Source organism: Homo sapiens, chromosome 15, assembly GCF_000001405.40.
Source record: "Homo sapiens chromosome 15, GRCh38.p14 Primary Assembly".
Taxonomy (NCBI): Eukaryota; Metazoa; Chordata; class Mammalia; order Primates; family Hominidae; genus Homo; species Homo sapiens.
In genome coordinates, this window is record NC_000015.10 from 67,266,514 (window position 1) to 67,281,422 (window position 14,909).

Below are 14,909 nucleotides of genomic sequence, written 5' to 3' on the forward strand. Positions count from 1 at the left end.
AGGCGTGGTGGCAGGCGCCTGTAGTCCCAGCTACTCAGGAGGCTGAGGCAGGAGAATGGCGTGAACCCGGGAGGCAGAGCTTGCAGTGAGCCGAGATTGTGCCACTGCACTCCAGCCTGGGCGACAGAGCGAGACTCCGTCTAAAAAAATAAATAAATAAAAAAGACATCATACTCTATACTTAGGTGAGGTTCAGCATTGATGATAGGTATAAGTCCATAATTTCAGTTAGTCTTCTAGATAATTTTTAAGTTTTGGGATTTTTTTGGCTGACTTTTCTTAAGTTGGATTGGATCATCATCATTTTTACTTTCTAATATGGGTGAAAAAAAAGCTCATGCTAAGAGTAAAAATGTCAACTCTCATTTTCTTGTTCATGGATGCTTATTATCTTGAAAATACAGTGTGCTTTTTGCAGAAAGCCTTAAGACACGTACGTTTTTTCAGTCTTAGCACACTTGAAATTAAATGACACAATTCATAAACCCACTGCATGAGTAAACTGCAGTCCATTCTAATGCGCTGAGAGCAGACGCACCAGTGCTGTTCCACTGTTTTGTGGTTTGGAGCCTCCACTCTCAGGTTGCCTCCAAAGCTGCAAGGGACGTTACCACATGAGGGATCGAGTGACAGGCTGAATATTGAATGGTAGTACAGAGTAATTTCTTATTTATTTCTTTTTTAATATAAACAGAAGTTCTTATACTTTCCTCACATGACCAATGGCATCATCTTATGTGTCACCTGGGATGTGGGTACTCTATTTGAGAGACAACAGGTCTAGAGTGATGGTTCTCAAACTTTTATTTGCAGTTTTCTTTCACTGGCTCTCAGGGGGGCATCCTAGCATCTGCATTTTAGCAAACATTCTTGGTATTTCTAATGCAGATGATTTGTCCTTGGAATCTCTGGGATGAGCATGACTGCCTGGAACCAATATATTTTTGGACATGTAGAGGGCCTTTCTCTGTATGATTGAGAGCTTGGTCCTGGAAATTCTACTACCCGGTTGCTATGAACGATTGGAGTGCCTCTTGCACTGGGATTGAGCCAGGACTGGAACCCGGCAGTCAGGCTAGCAGGAACTGCCAATGCCTGCTCAAACTGTGAGGCTGATTGAGTATCAGAGGCCAAAAGTCCCAGGGCAGCAACTCCTTCTGAGAGGGGAGGCATATAATGACTGCAGATCTCTGTTTGTTCCTTTGACAGCAGAGCACAGTTCCTATGAGTAACTGAGAATCAACATTGTTTAGATATGGGGCTTCACTTTATCTATGGAAACCCAGGAAATAGAGTTAATTCCAAATGAATACTATCCCTGGTCACACCTTTAAAAAAGATTTTAGAACAGATATGCAATAATGATCATTTTCATTGTCATCCTTATCAAGATCTTCATCATCATCATTAATATTTTCATAACACCCTTGACAGTTTGCAAAGGACTTTCTTTAAACTTACGAGGTAAATGTTTACTCTTTCCCTTTAAAGATGAGGAAACTGAGGCTCAGAGAGGTTATGTAAACCAGTCCTAGATCACATGCATAATCACTGATGAGGCTCAAGTCCTAATCAGATATCTACAACCTAGCACTCTTTTGCTCCATAACTGCCTGAAAATCAGAAAGCCTAATTGTCACAAAAGATAATTTTCCTTTTTAGCCAGCATTGCTTAAGGGAAAATCTGGTCGTTTTGTCTGGTAGAGACAAACCAGTAGGTACACAAAGTGGTGATAACGAATGCCAGCAAATGCAAGATTCTCCTAGCAGTAATCTTAAAACAACGATAAGGACGTTGTCAAAAGAGCTCAAAGTGCTTTTGTATTGTTTTCAAAATAGGTTTCACTGTTATCCACACTTTGGCAATGATTTTTCTTTTATGTCAAAGGATAGTTCCTCCTCTTACCATTGCTGGCTTTCACAAATTTTATTGCTTGTGATATCTGCTCACACTGTTCTTAATGACCATGATTTGCTTATTGACACTGGGAGGGTGACTGCCATCTGTACCAGCACTATCAGAACTGCACAGAAATCTTCATTTTATGTTCGCTCTGTTGTGCTACTATTTAGGAAAAGAAAAGAAAAGAAACAAGAACAAAGCAAGTAATAGTGAGAAAAAGTGAGGGGAAGAGGTTTTTTGTTCAATGGTGAGTGTAGATTAGAAGGTGCATTGTCATTCAATTATTGAAACACCATGGATCCTATCTATTCTGGGCTGTTCCAGTGCAGTTATATACGATATGACTACATTCTAGTCACAGAGAGAGAGGAGAGAGGAGAGAGGGAGAAAGCATGCATAACAAGATGTTAACACGTGGTAATCTATGTGAGGGGCATTCGCATGCTCACTGTTCTTTCCATTTTTCTTTGGGTTTGAAACTTTTTAAAACAAAAAAACAAACTTTTAAAACAGAATTATAAAATAAAACATAACAAACTGGAAAAACATTTGCAACAGATATGACACAAAAATTGCTAAGATTCTTAAATACAAAGTACACTTGCTAAAAAAAAAAAAACCAACACTTGATATAGACAGAAGGGCATCAACAGACCACTCACAGAGATGGAAATGCAAGTAACCAGTAAGCATGTGGAAAGTGTTTAATGCCACTGGTAACTGATGAAACACAAATGAAACAAAAATATCTCATCTTACAGATAAACCAGAGAAATGCAAATCAAACAATATATTACTATTTTTTCTTTAAAAATAAGGAAAACAAATTAAACCACTATAATACTCAGTGCTAATGAAGGTACAGCAAAATGGGCATACTTTTATCCTGCTGGTAGAAGTGTAAATTAGCACAAAGTTTTCTTCATTCAGCTTATTATTTCATTGATACATAATACTTGTATATATTTTCAAGGTACATGGGATAATTTGATACCTTCTTCTAATGTGTAAAGATCAAATCAAGGTAATTGGATTTTCCATTACCTTAAATACTTATTTTTTCTTTAAGCTAGAAACATGCAAATTATCTTCTAGCTATTTTGAAATGTACAGTAGAGTAGTGTTAACTATAGTCACCCTATTGATCTGTAAAACCTAGGTTTTATTTCTTCTCTCTAACTGTATATTAAACCCATTAATCAACCTCTCTTCAACCACCCCTCATCCCTCTCCTCCTTGCCTCTGGTAACCACCAATCTACTCTCCATATTCATGAGATCCACTTTTTTTTTTTTAGCTCCCACATGTGAGAACGTGAGATATATTTGTCTTTCTGTACTTATTTCACTCAACATAATAACCTCTAGTTCCATCCATGTTGCTGTGAATGACAGGATTCCTTTGTTTTTTATGGTTAAATAATATTCCATTGTGTATATATACCACATTTTCTTTATCCATTCATCCATTGATGGGCACTTAGGTTGATTCCAAGTTTTGTTCATTGTGTATAATGTTGCAGTAAACATGGGACTGGAAATCTCTCTTCAATATACTGGTTTCCTTTCTTTTGGATATATACCCAGTAGTGGGATGGCTGGGTCTTATGGTAGTTCTATTTTTAGTTTTTTGAGGCACCTCCATACTGTTTTCCATAGTGGGTATACTTTGCTGAATTCATTAATCAGTTCTAACAGTTTTTGGTGGTGTCTTTAGGTTTTTCTGAATATAAGATCATGTTGTCTATGAACAAAGCTAATTTGACTTCTTCCTTTCCAATTTGGATGCCTTTATTTCTTTCTCTTGCCTAATTGCTCTGGCCAGGATTTCCAGTATTATACGGAATAAACGTTGTGAAAGTGGGCATCCTTGTCTTATTCCAGATCCTAGAGGAAAGGCATCCAGTTTCTCCCTGTTTAGTATGATGTTGGCTATGGGTTTGTCATATATGGCATTTATTATTTTCAGGTATGTTCCTTCTATATCCAGTTTGCTGAAGGTTTTTTATCATGAAGGGATACTGTGGTTTGTATGGCTCCACCAAGTCCCATGTTGAAAGTTGATCCCCAATGTTAGAGGTGGAACCTGATGGAAGGTGTTTGGGTTGTGGGGGTGGATCTCTCATGAATGGATTGGTGCCATTCTCATGGGAGTGAGTGAATTCTACTCTTAGTCTCCATGGGAACTGGTTGAAAAGAGACAGGCACCTCTTCCTCTCTCTTGCTGCTTCTCTCACCATGTGATCTCTATGTCCTGGCTCCCCTTACCTTCTACCATGAATGGAAGTAGCTTGAAGCCCTGACCAGAAGCAGATGCTAGCACTATGTTTCTTTTACAGTCTGCAGAACCATGAGCCAAATAAATCTGTTTTTAAAAAAATTACCCAGCTTCAGGCATTCCTTTATAGCAACACAAACAGAATAAGACAAGGGATGCTGAATTTTATCAGATGCCTTTTAGCATCTATTGGAATGATCATATGGTTTTTTGTTCTTGATTCTGTTAAAGTGATGTATCACATTGATTGATTTGACTGTGTTATATCATCCTTGTATCCCTGAGATGAATCTCACTTGAAGTCTCGCTCTGTTGCCCAGGCTGGAGTGCAGTCGTGCAATCTTGGCTCCCTGCAACCTCCACCTTCTGGATTCAAGCAATTCTCCTGCCTCAGCCTCCCAAGTAGCTGGGACTACAGGCACACACCACCGTGCCCGGCTAATTTTTTGTATTTTTAGTAGAGACAGGGTTTCACCATGCTGGGCAGGCTGGTCTCGAACTCCTGACGTTGTGATCCGCCCAGCTTGGCCTCCCAAAGTGCTGAGATTACAGGTGTGAGCCACCACGCCCAGCCTATGGTGAATGATCTTTTAAATGTATTGTTGAATTTGGTTTGCTAGGATTTCGTTGAAGATTTTTGCATCTATATTTATGAGTGGTATTGGCCTATAGTTTTCTTTTTTGTTGTTGTTGTATCCTCATCTGGTTTTGGTATCAGCATAATGCTGGCCTCATACAATGAGTTTGAAATTTCCTTCTCTTCATTTTTTTTGAAGAGTTTGAGTAGAATTGGTGTTAGTTATTCTTTAAATGGTTGATAGGTAGAAATTAGCAGTGAAGCCATCAAATCATTGGTTTTTCTTAGATAGGAAACTTTTTGTCATGGCTTTGATCTCTTTACTCCTTATTGGTTTGTTGAGGCTTTCTATTTCTTTATGGTTCAATCTTGGTAGGTTGTAAGTGTCCAGGAATTTATCTGTTCCTTCTAGATTTTCCAAATTGTAAATTGTTGGGATATAGTTGTTCATAATAGTCTGTGATAATTCTTTGTATTTCTGTGGTCTCAATTGTTATGTCTCCTTTTTTGTTTCTGATTTTATTTATTTGGGTTTTATCTCTTTTTTTCTTAGTCTAGCTAAAGGTTTGTTGATTGTCTTTATCTTTTCAAAAAACCACCTTTTAATTTTGTTGATCTTCTGTATGTTTTTGTCTCAATTTCATTTATTTCTGCTCTAGTCTTTATTATTTTTTACCTTTTATTAATTTGGGGTTTGGTGTGTTCTTGCTTTTCTAATTCCTGGAGGTGCATCATTAGGTTGTGTATTTGAAGTTTTTATACTTTTTGATATAGGCATTTATTGTTGTAAACTTTCCTCTTAGGACTGCTTTTTCACTGCCCCATAATTTTGGTATGTTGTATTTCCATTTTCATTTGTTTCAAGAAATTTAAATTTCCTTTTTAATTTCTTTATTGACTGTCATTCAGAAGCATATTGTTTAGTTTCCATGTGTTTCTGTAGTTTCCAAGGTTCCTCTTGTTATTGATTTCTAGTTTTATCTCATTGTAGTTAGAAAAAAATACTTAATATGGTTTCTACTTTTTAAAATTTGTTGAGATGTGTTTTGTGGCCTAAGACATGATTTCTAAGAATGTTCTCTATTCTGGAGAACGTTCCATGTGCTGATAAAAAAGAATGTGTATTCTATAGCAGTTGGGTGAAATGTCCTTTAAATGTCAGTTAGACCTGTCTGGTCTAGTATGTAGTTTAACCTGAAAGTTATTGCTGATTTTCTGACTGGATGATCTGTCCCTTACTGAAAGTGGGGTGCTAAAGTCCCTTACTATTATTGTGTTGCAATCTATCTCTCTCTTTTGGCTCTGTTACAATGTTTGCCTTATATACTTGGGTGCTCCAATGTTGCGTGCATAGACACTTACACTTGTTCTATCTACTTGCTGAATTGACTCCTTTAATGATATAATGACCTTCTTTGACTCTTTTTACAGTCTTTGACTTGTAGTCCATTTTATCTATGTATAATTACTCCTCTTTTTGAGTTTCCAGTTGCATAGAATATCAACTCCATGTCTTTACTTTCAGTCTGTGTCTTTATAGCTGAGGTGGGTTTCTTGCAGGCAGCATATAGTTGGGTCTTGTTTCTTTTATCCATTCAGCCACACTGTGTTTTTTAATTGGAGAACTAAATCCATTTACATTCAGTCTTATTATTGCTGAGTAAAGACTTACCATTTTTATTGCTTGTTTTCTGGTTGTTTTGTAAATTCTCTCTTCCTTTCTTACTGTCTTTCATTGTGGTTAAATTATTTTTCTCTGGTAGTATGTTTTAATTCATTGCTTTTTTATTTATTTTTAATTAATTAATTTATTTTTTGGAGACAGGGTCTCTCTCTGTCGCCCAGGCTGGAGTGCAGTGTTGCAATCTCGGCTCACTGCAACCTCTGCCTCCCAGGTTCAGGCAATTCTCCTACCTCAGCCTGCTGAGTGGCTGGGATTACAGGCGCCTGCCACCATGCCTGGCTAATTTTTGTATTTTTAGTAGAGACAGGGTTTCACCATGTTGCCAGGCTGGTCTCAAACTCCTGACCTCAAGTGATTTGCCTGCCTCAGCCTCCCAAAGTGCTGAGATTATAGGCACGAGCCACCATGCCTGGCCTGAGCCACCATGCCCAGCCCATTGCTTTTTATTTCTAATGTATCTGTTATAGTTTTTTGCATTGTGGTTCCCATGAAGCTTATAAAAACATCTTCTAGATATAATAAGTTATTTTAAAGAGATAATGTTATCTTAGATCACTAAAAAATAATAGAAACAAAGAAAAAACTTTAAAAAAACTCTACACTTTAAGTCCATTCCCCATACATTTTGACTTTTTTTGGTCTCACCTTACATAGTTTTATATTGCCTATCTTTTAACAGGTTGCTGTAGCTATTACTGTTTTTAATAGATTTATATTATAGGCTTCATACTTGAGTTTGAGTAGGTGTTACACCACAGAGTATTAGTGTATTCTGAGGTTGTTTATGTACTTAATTTTACCAGTGAGTTTTTTTACCTTCCAATGTTTTCTCTTTGCACATTAGTGACTTTTTTCTTTCAGACTGAATAACTCCCATTAGCATTTGATGTAACATGGGTCTGGTGGTGGTGAATTCACTCAGCTTTTGTCCGTCTGGGAAAGACTTTATCTTAGCATATTTGAAGGATACCTCTGATGGATACAGTATTCTTCGAAGGCAGCTTTTTTCTTTTAGCACTTTGAAAATGTTTTCACATTCTCTCTTGGCTTATATCGTTTCCATTGAGAAGTCGTTTGCCAGATTAATTAGAGCTCCTTTATGTGCTATTTGCTTCTTCTCTCTTGCTGTTTTCAGGATCTTCTCTTTGTCCTTGACCTTTGAGAGTTTGATTAGTATATGTTGGGATGGTCTTATTTGGGTTGAATCTATTTGGTGTTCTCTGCCCTTCCTGTACCTGGATATTTCTGTCTTTCTAAAGTTTTCAAAAGTTTTCTGTTATTGTTTCTTTAAATAAGCTTTCTACCCCTTACTCTTCTTCAACTCTCTCTTGAACATCAATAATTTTTAGATTTGGTCTTCTGAGAGAATTTTCTATATCTTGTAGGTGATCTTCATTCCTTTTTATATTTTTCTTCTCTGACTGTGTGTTCTCAAATAGCCTGTCCTGAAGCTCACTGATTCTTTCTTCTGCTTTAACCATTCTGCTGTTGAGAGCCTCTAGTGAATTTTTTAGTTCAGCAAATGTATTTCAACATTTCTGTTTGGTTTTATTTTTATTATTTCAATCTCTTTGTTAAATTTCTTTGATAAATTTCTTAATTGATTTTCTGTGTTATCTTGGTGATCACTGAGTTTCCTTATAATTGCTATTTTGTTCTTGGTCAGAGATCTCGCATATCAACATCTCACTAAGGTCAGTCACTGGTTCCTTGCTTTGTTCATTTTGGGGAAGTCATGGTTCCTTGTTTGCTGTTGATGTGCCTGTATGTCTGTTTCTTTGCATTAAAGGATTAGTTATTTATTCCAGTCTTCTCTCTCTGGCTTGTTTTGGTTTTTAATGGATATGCTTGCTTTTTTCTTTGTAATTTTTGAATATCTTTTTTTCCCCCACTAGGTTGCTGTCTCCTTTTTGGCACTAGATGGCAACTTAAGCCCGGATTTGTGTCAAATCTAATAAAGGATCAGAATGCTGCCTGTCCCAAATGGAAGAGGTCCCAAAGGGGATATTCTGGCAATGTGGGTCAGCTGGCCAAGGGTTTGTGCCAAGGGGACCTGTGGAACATACTTTCTACAGCATGGTACTGCCACTCTGATTTGGTGTCTCCTTTGGCCTAGTTACAGAGCAGAATATCTAGGGTTGGGATGGTTGTCTCACCTCCCTACTTTGTCTCTGGCTGTCCTCAGGGATATTTGTCCCTTCAAGTACTCCTGATACTTTCCATGGGTTGAGGTAGGGACAGGTCTTTTGTCAGGAACCCAAGGTGATAGGGAAGCTGGTTGTCAACCTTGATCTCACTTTAGAATTCTAGTGAAGAAACCATGAGTTGGGAGAAATATTTTCACATGCTTGGTGCAAGGCAGATTGTGGAGAGAGGAGTCACGGATATAGAAATCTGATTTCCTTTCCATCTGCTTGGAGTTTTTTCCCTTCTCCATGACCTGGGAACTGTCTCATCCTCATCTTTGGGTTCTGGGTTATTGCTGGTAATAATCTCAGTAATGTATGTTTGTTTTTAGTTTTCTGTTATGGGAGCATGAAGCCAGCTTGCTTCTATGCTGGCATTTTGGAACTGGAAGACAGCATGAAGTTCTTAAAAGCAATTTTTCAACATATATGAAAAAATTTAAATTATTATTTTTGGCCAAATGTGGTGGCTCATGCCTGTAATCTCAGCACTTTGGGAGGCTGAGATGGGAGGCTCACTTGAGTCCAGGTGTTTGAGACCAGCCTGGGCAACATAGTGAAACCCTGTCTCTACAAAAAAAATTTTTAAATTTGCTGAGTGTGGTGGCATGTGCCTGTAGTCCCAGCTACTCTGGAGGCTGAGGCAGGAGAATCACCTAAGCCTAGGATATTGAGGCTGCAGTGAGCCGTGATTGTGCCACTGCACTCCAGCCTGAGTGACAGAGTGAGATCTTGTTTCAAATAAATAAATATGTTTAAATTTAGTAATTGTAGCTCTAAGAATTATCTTAGGAACTAAAGAGAGATATACATTAATGTCTGTATAAGTATGTTCATTTTAGCATTGTATTTAATAGCAATAACTTTGGATATACCTTAAGTATCAACAGTAAAAGAATTATTAAATTCATTTTAACACATCTATATGTATGTTATATAGCTATTAAAACTGATATTGAAGAAATTTTACTGACATGGAAAATTTCTCAAGCATATGCTGAGGGGGAGAAAAGCAGTGTACAAAATTATATCTCAATTCAATTATCAATATCTAAATTCACTTCTAAACACACCATCCATAGAAGTAAAAGGATTTAAGAAATACACCAAGATACTTTCACTTCTGGGAAGGTGGTGACATACTGTCTTTTATGCCTCCTGCTAAGTACAACTAAAAACTTTGGACATTATATTTAAAACAAACTTTAAAAGACTCTGAAAGACGGAGAGAAGAAGGCAGACCAGCTGAGGGCCTTGAGACACAAGGAACAGCATGGTGGTGAGTTTCCTGGGTTTTCTTTTTGCCTCATATATCCCATAGCAAACATATATAATTTTCCTTCCCTCCAAAGAATTTCCTTTAATGGTTCTTGCAAGACAGATCTCAGGCAACAAATTCTCTTAGTTGTTATTTGTCTCAAAACATCTTTATTTCCTCTTCACTTTTGAAGGATAATTTTTGCAGGTTAGTGGGTTTTTTCTTTCCACATTTTAAATATTTCAATTCATTGTCTTCTTACTTGCATAGTTTCTGAAAAAAAAAGTTCAATATAATTATTATCAATAGGTAAGGTAATTTTTTTTCTCCCTGGCTTCTTGCAAGATTTTCTCTGTCTTTTGTTTTTCATAGTTTAAATATGATATGTATAGGTGTAGGGTTTTGTTTTGTTTTTTGCATTTATTCTGGTCAGTGTTCTCTGAAATTCCTGAATCTGTAGCTTGGTGTCTGTCATTAATTTTGGGAAATTCTCAGCCATTATTACTCAAATATTTCTTTGGTTCCTTTGTCCCTTCTCTTGTATTCCTATAAGTATGTCACACTGTTTATAACTGAATATTCTGTACTGTTTTGTTCATTCTCTTTTCATCTTTGCGTTTCACTTTGAGGAGTTTATATTGACATTTCTTCAAGATCACTGATTTTGTTTCATTGGCCATATTCAATATATTGATAAGCCTATCAAAGACATTCTTCACTTCTTAAAACAATGCTTTTTATTTCTAGCATTTTCTCTTGATTCTTTCTTAAAGTTTAAATCTCTCTGCTTACATTACCCATCTTGTCTTGCATGTTGTCCACTTTTTTCATTAGTGCCCTTAGCCTATTAATCAGAGTTACTTTAAATTTCTGGTCTGATAATTCCAAAATCTCTGGCATAGCTGAATCTGGTTCTGATATTCGCTTTGTCTCTTCAGACTGTTTTTTTTCTTGCCTTTTAGCATGCCTCATCATTTTTTATCGAAGCCTAGATACCATCATTATATCATTGGGTAATAGCATTTAAGATAAATAGGCCTTCAGTGTGAGGGTTTATGTTTATCTGACTAGGAGTTACACTGTGTTTACTGTTTGCTATTAATGTTGGCATCTGAGAGTTTCCTCCAGTATCTTTTTTTTTTTTTTTTTTTTTTAGACGGAGTCTCGCTCTGTCACCCAGGCTGGAGTGCAGTGGCGCAATCTCGGCTCACTGCAAGCTCCGCCTTCCGGGTTCATGCCACTCTCCTGCTTCAGCCTCCTGAGTAGCTGGAACAACAGGCACATGCCACCACGCCTGGCTAATTTTTTGTATTTTTAGTACAGACGGGGTTTCACCGTGTTAGCCAGGATGGTCTCGATCTCCTGACCTCATGATCCACCCGCCTCAGCCTCCCAAAGTGCTGGGATTACAGGCTTGAGCCACCGCGCCTGGCCCAGTATCTTTGTTTTTATCACCCCTTTTGTCTCTTGTTTTGTCTTTGGGTTTCCTTAGAAACCCCTTCTTAAAAAGAGTCTGAGCTTTGCAGTCTTTCATCTATAATCTTCTGTTATTCAGGGGCTCTGTAAATGTGGTGGTAAAGTGTGTGTAGAAGGAAGCATTCTATACTCTATAATTAGGTGTCAGTCTTTTGGTGGGTCTTTGCCCTGGGCTATTACCTTGACAAGTTTTTCTCAGCATTTCCTCCCCTTAAGTGAGAGAGGAAGGTTAGAGTGGGCTGAAGTTGTCTAATTGCCCTTCTCCAGCTCAGATAAGGCTTTGGTTAGACATTTTCTTGAGAGCTTACCTTCATTACAGAGAACGGAACGAAGAACAGAACGAAGAACAGAACTCTCTGGGAATATTCCAAAATAGCTATTTCCTTCTCTCCCTGCTGGAAGCAGAAGCGGATTCTCTGATCTTCACAGTGAGAACATGTTGGGGCTCTTGGAGGCAAAACTCACAAAAGTGTGGGACCCTCTAAGATTCTCCTCCCTGCCCCCAAGAATTTTTAACTCTCAAGCTAGTCCACACTGAGCCTCGAGAAATTTGTCAATTAGAGCTGAAGCGTTCTTGTCAGTGTAGGTTCCAACAGCTGACTTCTGCTCTCAGGCTTCTGCTCCCTGCAAGCTGTGATGCTTTATAATACTCCTCTCTCCAGTTTTCAGGACAGCAGTTTACCCTGTGATCTCAATTCTCTGATAGATATAAGAAGAGTTGTTTTCATTTAGCTTTTTTCTTGTTGTGAGAATAGGAATGACAACTTCCAAGCTCATTACATGTTGGAGTGAAACTAGAACTCCGTAAGTTGCTTTTTAATGATAATTTTGCAAAAGTGGGTATCACAATAGAATCAAGTTATTGAGTTGTATTGAGTTATTGGTGGGTGAGTTTTGTTAGTCCTAATTATATTGATAATCTTAAAGATCTTGAACTTGCTTTCAAATTAAAAATTTTAAGACATAACATGACACACAAGTACTCATTCTTACAATTTTATTTTTTTTACATTGCTCTCCCATGGAACTATCCACTGCTTAATAAGGAAAATGTTTAACCACCTTTGATATTTAAATCTTTACAACTATATAAAATAGCAGAGATTTCAAGAATATAAGTATTAATCACTTAGGGACCATCATTTTGTATATATTTAACGTTGGTTATACTGTAATTTGATTTTATTAAACAAAATACAACATTATGTATTTTCTTTTACCAAGAATGTTTTATAGTGCAATAATTCTGTCAGTTGTTAATCATATAAACTCAGCCAGAAATAGAGCTTTTTATTCATGCTATAATGGTCTTTATCAGACTTGGAAATTCTTATGCTTAATAAAACAACTGCAGTTTTACAGTGGCAAAAATAATAAAGATTGGTTTAATTTATTGTAATTACCAATAGAATATTTCCTATAAAATATAAGCTTAATTAGGAAGCATTGTTTTAAAATTACAATTTGAAAAGCTTTTAAAATAGCAAATTTGATTTTAAATTCCATTTCTTCTTACTTAGGTTACTTCCAACTGTAATTGATCAGAAATCATTTATTTTCCCTCAGGAATCTGAGGGTACATTTTGGCAACCCCAAAGACAGCACAGTTCATCTCTGCCTGTCTTTCCAAGAGCAAAGGTAGGTATAGAGAAATTCATAGAGACAGAAAGTAGTTTAGTGATTGCCAGGGGCTGGGAGGAGCAGAGACTAGGAGTGACTTTTAATGGGTATGAAGTTTCTTTGGGGGACAATGAACATGTTCTAGAATTATATAGTGGTGATGATTGCACTACTCTGTGAATATAGTAAACACCATTGAATTATATACTTTAAAAATGTGAATTTTGGCTGGGTGCAGTGGCTCACGCCTGTAATTCCAGCACTTTGGGAGGCCGAGGTGGGTGGATCACAAGGTCAGGAGATCAAGACCATCCTGGCTAACATGGTAAAACCCCGTCTCTACTAAAAATACAAAAAATTATCCGGGCGTGGTGGTGGGCGCCTGGTACTCGCCTGGTACTGGTGGTGGTACTCGGGAGGCTGAGGCAGGAGAATGGCGTGAACCCGGGAGGCGGAACTTTCAGTGAGCCGAGATTGTGCCACTGCACTCCAGCCAGGGCGACAGAGCGAGACTCCGTCTAAAAAAAAAAAATGTGAATTTTATGGTATATTAATTACATCTCAATGAAGCTGTTAAAAACTTTTTAAAAGAGTAAAGTAAGAAATTTGCTTTGTGTTCTAAGTTAGAAAACATAATGTATAGGTCTGTTTCTAGAATTTCATTTTATAGTTGTTTCAGATATGTTCATGGCATGGTCAATTTCTACAACAAAAGAGCTTTCTTCAGAAGAAAATAAATCAAGACATAATACCTTCACATTTTTTAACAGAGCCAGGTGGCAAAGAATAGAGCTCAAGAAGTTTCTGACTTTGCCTCCATTGAGTGTTCTCTCAATTCTGTTTTGTCCCTGTCTTAGCTCAGGCTGCTGTAACAGAATACCATAAACTGAGTGGCTTAAACAACAGAATTCTATTTCTTACAGCTCTAGAGGCTGGAATTCAAAGGTCAAGGTGCCGGCAGATCCGGTGTCTGGTGAGGTCTTTCTTCCTAGTTTGCAGACAGTTTTCTTCATTTGTTTCTTCACATGGCAGAGAGAGACAGAGAGAAAACCAGCAAGCTCTTGTGTGTCTTTTTATAAGGACATTGATCTCATTCATTAGGGTTCTACCCTCATGAGCTAATTATCTCCCAAAAACCTCACCTGCTAATACCATTACATTGGGTTAGGATTTCAACATATGGGTTTTGGTGGGCGGGGGGAGGCGGGGCACAAACATTCAGTCCATAGCATGCCCTGACTTAAAAGTAATACTAGCTCACCTCTTTTGGGTAGCAGGAACTGTTAGCAGTACTTTGAAAATACTAACTTGTTTGAACTTCAGAACAATCCTAGAAGGAGGTGTTATTATTATTATTATTATTATTATTAAGATGGAGTTTCACTCTTGTCACCCAGGCTGGAGTGCAGTGGCACAATCTCGGCTCACTGCAACCTCTGCCCCTCAGGTTCAAGCAATTCTTTGCCTCAGCCTCCCAAGTAGTTGGGATTATAGGCACCCACCACCACGCCCGGCTAATTTTTATATTTTTAGTAGAGATGGGGTTTCACCATCTTGGCCGGGCTGGTCTTGAACTCCCGACCTCTTGATCCACCCGCCTTGGCCTCCCAAAGTGCTGGGATTACAGGCATGAGCCACCGCGCGTGGCCAGTTGTATGACTTTTTAAATGTCTGTCTTCCCACTAGATTATAAGCTTAATGAGGGCAGTAACTGTATTAGTTTGTTCATTACTATATTATGCCTAGGGTGTGGGCCATAGGCTCTTGACCTCCTAAAAGTTTGCTCAAAATCACTAACATGAGGCAGATTGATTAATTAGGAGAAAAGGCATACAAGTTTATTTAACATGTATACACAGGAGCCTTCAGTATGAAGACCCAACATCCTAATAAGTTACAGAAGCTTATATATCATCTTGAGGTTACAG

At 37.7% G+C, this 14,909-nt stretch overlaps 1 protein-coding gene across 12 annotated transcripts in view, besides 1 other annotated feature; it reads left to right on the forward strand.

Annotated features, from left to right (window-relative positions):
* IQCH (IQ motif containing H) overlaps positions 1–14,909 on the forward strand; it is a 247,019-nt gene that overhangs the window by 11,728 nt on the left and 220,382 nt on the right. For 3 of the 12 annotated variants that reach the window (NM_001031715.3, NM_001322475.2, NM_022784.3), the window contains one exon: positions 12,882–12,999. The exons of the other annotated variants lie outside the window; for them this stretch is intronic. In NM_001031715.3, coding sequence (NP_001026885.2) covers positions 12,882–12,999 — 118 coding nt within the window. The remainder of the gene's footprint in view (positions 1–12,881; positions 13,000–14,909) is intronic. 12 annotated transcript variants of the gene reach the window in all.
* Positions 10,922–11,082: a silencer, noted in NCBI's record as "fragment chr15:67569773-67569933 (GRCh37/hg19 assembly coordinates)". NCBI's record gives its function as "represses an EF-1alpha promoter that drives an FKBP-Casp9 reporter gene in an ReSE screen in K562 erythroleukemia cells {active_cell/tissue: K562}" and the evidence as "EXISTENCE:reporter gene assay evidence [ECO:0000049][PMID:32094911]".